The 2,874-nt window shown below is 49.3% G+C and overlaps 1 annotated feature.

Moving 5' to 3' along the window:
- Positions 1,651-2,874: an enhancer, noted in NCBI's record as "VISTA enhancer hs2620". NCBI's record gives its function as "enhancer in: hindbrain (rhombencephalon)[4/6] | midbrain (mesencephalon)[6/6]" and the evidence as "EXISTENCE:transgenic organism evidence [ECO:0001131][PMID:17130149]".

The following is a 2,874-nucleotide window of genomic DNA, read 5'->3' as shown; positions in this document are numbered from 1 at the left end:
AGGAGGTCGAGGCTGCAGTGAGCCGTGATTGCATTGCTGCACTCTAGCCTGGGTGATAGAGCAACACTGTCTCAAAAAAAAAAATTGTATAAATACCACCCATTCCCTTGACCAGCCCTAAAAATGTATTGGATGAATGAATGAATGAGTGAATGAATGAAGTAAATAAATGAGGGCAGCAGAGGGACAAAGGACGCATGGGCAGGGACATATTTGACATGAGTCAGGGGATCTTGGCCAGTTAGAAAAGAAACAGACCAAGCAAAGGGCAAGCATTTTGGTAGGAAATGGAGACAGAAAGAACTAGAGATCTTAGTGATGCTAAAGAGAAGGCAGAGTGGAATTAGAGAATGAAGAACACAGGAGCTGTCACCAGAAAGTTTAATATTTTCGAGACGGGTAAGTTGTGGGTGATGACAAAGTCTAGAATGTGTCCGCAGGCACGAACTGAAGGGGTAAGGGGGTGGAGGTCATTGGAGTTGACAGGGTCAAAAAAAACTACGAAGCCAGGGTGCTGGATGGTTGTCCAAAGCAACATCAAAGTCATCCATAATGGTGCCAAAATACAAGCTAAATAAATAATCCTTTGCATTCTTTCTGCATCAGCAACAAATGAGGAAGCAGAGTGAGGTTTGCAGATATACGTAAAAGATCAGAAAAAAAGGCAAGAACAAGAACCAGTTGAGAGACAGACATGAGAGAAAGAAAACAGGAGGGTATGAGAGGTGAGCCCATGAGAAATCACAGCCTAAGCATAGAAGAGGAGGGGAACGGGGGGATGATCTTGCCACCTGGGGAGTCAGGCAGAGCAGACCTCCAAGCTGAGACCCAGCAGTGCTCCACACTGTACTCAGTGGGCCTGGTTAGTGGGGGGTAAATCTCAGATCTCCCACCGCCCAGCCCTCACATATATTTATCTCACTGGAACTTCATACCACCTGGCAGATCTGATAGTTACAGATGAGTAGCCCCAACTTACAGTTGAAGAAACTGAGGCCAGGGAGTGAAGTGACTTGACTATGATCCCTAAATCATTCATCAAGCTGGGGTCAGGGAAAGAACTAGGACCTAGGTGTGCTGAGTCCCCATTTCATGGCTATTGGGGCTATGGTAGGGAAAGGTTGCGCAGCAGTGGGGGAAGGGATATAGCCAAGCCAGGGCAGTGGAACCCATCCCAAAATATGTCCCCAAGTGTAGGGTCAACAGCTTTGCTCCAGTGGGGTGGAATGGGAAGACACTAGAAAATGTGGGAGCCCCTCCACACCCAACCTTTTTATTTCTCAAGAATCCAGTGCTGGAGAGAGGCTGTTAGTGCTGAATCCATGGCCTGCATAAACCACCTCGAGAAAGCTCTGTTCTCCCACTCCATTCCCTTAGCAGCGTCTGTGGTGCAGGGAGCTGGGGAGGGAACTGCTTGTCTGTTATCATCCACTAACACCTGTGCTCTAGAGATAACATGATTAACTCCAGAGAACAGGGGTCAGAATAGTGGGTGCACAATGGAGGCCACGGGTCCCTGGGTGACAGGAAGGAGCTCTGGGGGCCTGCTGGGAGGAGGGGGTGCTGGTGAGGTGCCAGGGGTCAGAGACACACTTTAGATCTTGCTGCTTTGCCCTGGGGGCTCCATGCAGGCCTTTCCCTAGGCAGAGGGGTCGCCCATTGTTTCCTTATCTCTGGGAGCCAGTGACAGCCTGTCCTCCAATGATGCTGATCATATGGTATTGTTATCACCCTGTGCCTGTCACCGGCCAGGGCCGTGGGGCTGTCAATTTCTGACAAACAGCACTTGAGCGCTAAAGGGAATCTGTTCTTGGCCTTATCTCCGACCTGCGTATCCTGCTTTAGCTTCACATTTGGTCCCTGTGGGGCCATCACTTTGCCAATAGCAGTCCCTGGGGCACCCAGATAAGTTGCTAGCTGCCTGTGCCCTGGGGCTCTAGTCAATGGCTGTGGGGACTGGCAGTGCCCAGGCTGGCACCTCTGGTCCAGGTCAGCATCAGCATCTCCGGGGCACTGTGGCCAGAGATAATGGCCAGAGCCGTGGCCACACCACAGGCACAGAGATTAGCTTGGGGAATGTCCCCAGCTTCAACATTCAATAGCTGTGTTGTCTTTTCATTTGCATACAGAGTTTGAACAAGACAGAAAAACAAGTCAGCACCACGGACAGCGTCCTGTGAGGCCTTTCATTAAGCCAAAGCAAGCAGGGAAGAAAGGAGGAAAGGAGAAGGTAAGGGAGGGAGGAGAAAGGGAGGGAAAGGGGGAAGAGGCAAAAGGAAAAGGAGAGGAAATGGTGATGGTAGGGGAGGGAGAGTTTCTTTGCTGGCCAAATAATGGTGTGGTATTTTTTAGTCTCTACTTTCAGCTTGGCCAGTGGTTGAAGAAAAGACTATTTGACCAAGGAAGGTTAATTGAAATTAAAGGTTCTTCTGACCTTAGATAAAGAAGGATATGTGGCCAGGCATGATGGCTCACAACGGTAATCCCAGCATTTTGAGAGGCTGAGGCAGAAGGAGTGCTTGAGTTAAGGCAGATGAGACCAGCCTGGGCAACATGACAAAACCCCATCCCTACAAAAAGTACAAAAATTAGCGGGGCATGGTAGTGCATGCCTGTAGTCTCAGCTACTGGGGAGCTGAGGCAGGAGGATCATTTGAGCCTGGGAGATTGAGGCTGTAGTGAGCCAAGATCCTGCCACTGCACTCCAGCCCAGGGTGACAGGGCAAGACCCTGTCTACACAATAAATAAAATAGCATAAAAATAAATTAAAATTTGTTTAAACTTAGCTGGGCATAGTGGTGCATACCTGTGGTCTTAGATACTTGGCAGACTGAGGAAGGAGGATCTCTTGAGCCCAGAAATTCAAGGCTGCA

This window comes from Homo sapiens, chromosome 20 (assembly GCF_000001405.40).
Source record: "Homo sapiens chromosome 20, GRCh38.p14 Primary Assembly".
NCBI lineage: Eukaryota > Metazoa > Chordata > Mammalia > Primates > Hominidae > Homo > Homo sapiens.
Note: the sequence above shows the minus strand (reverse complement) of the source record. Positions and strands in the feature narration are given on the sequence as shown.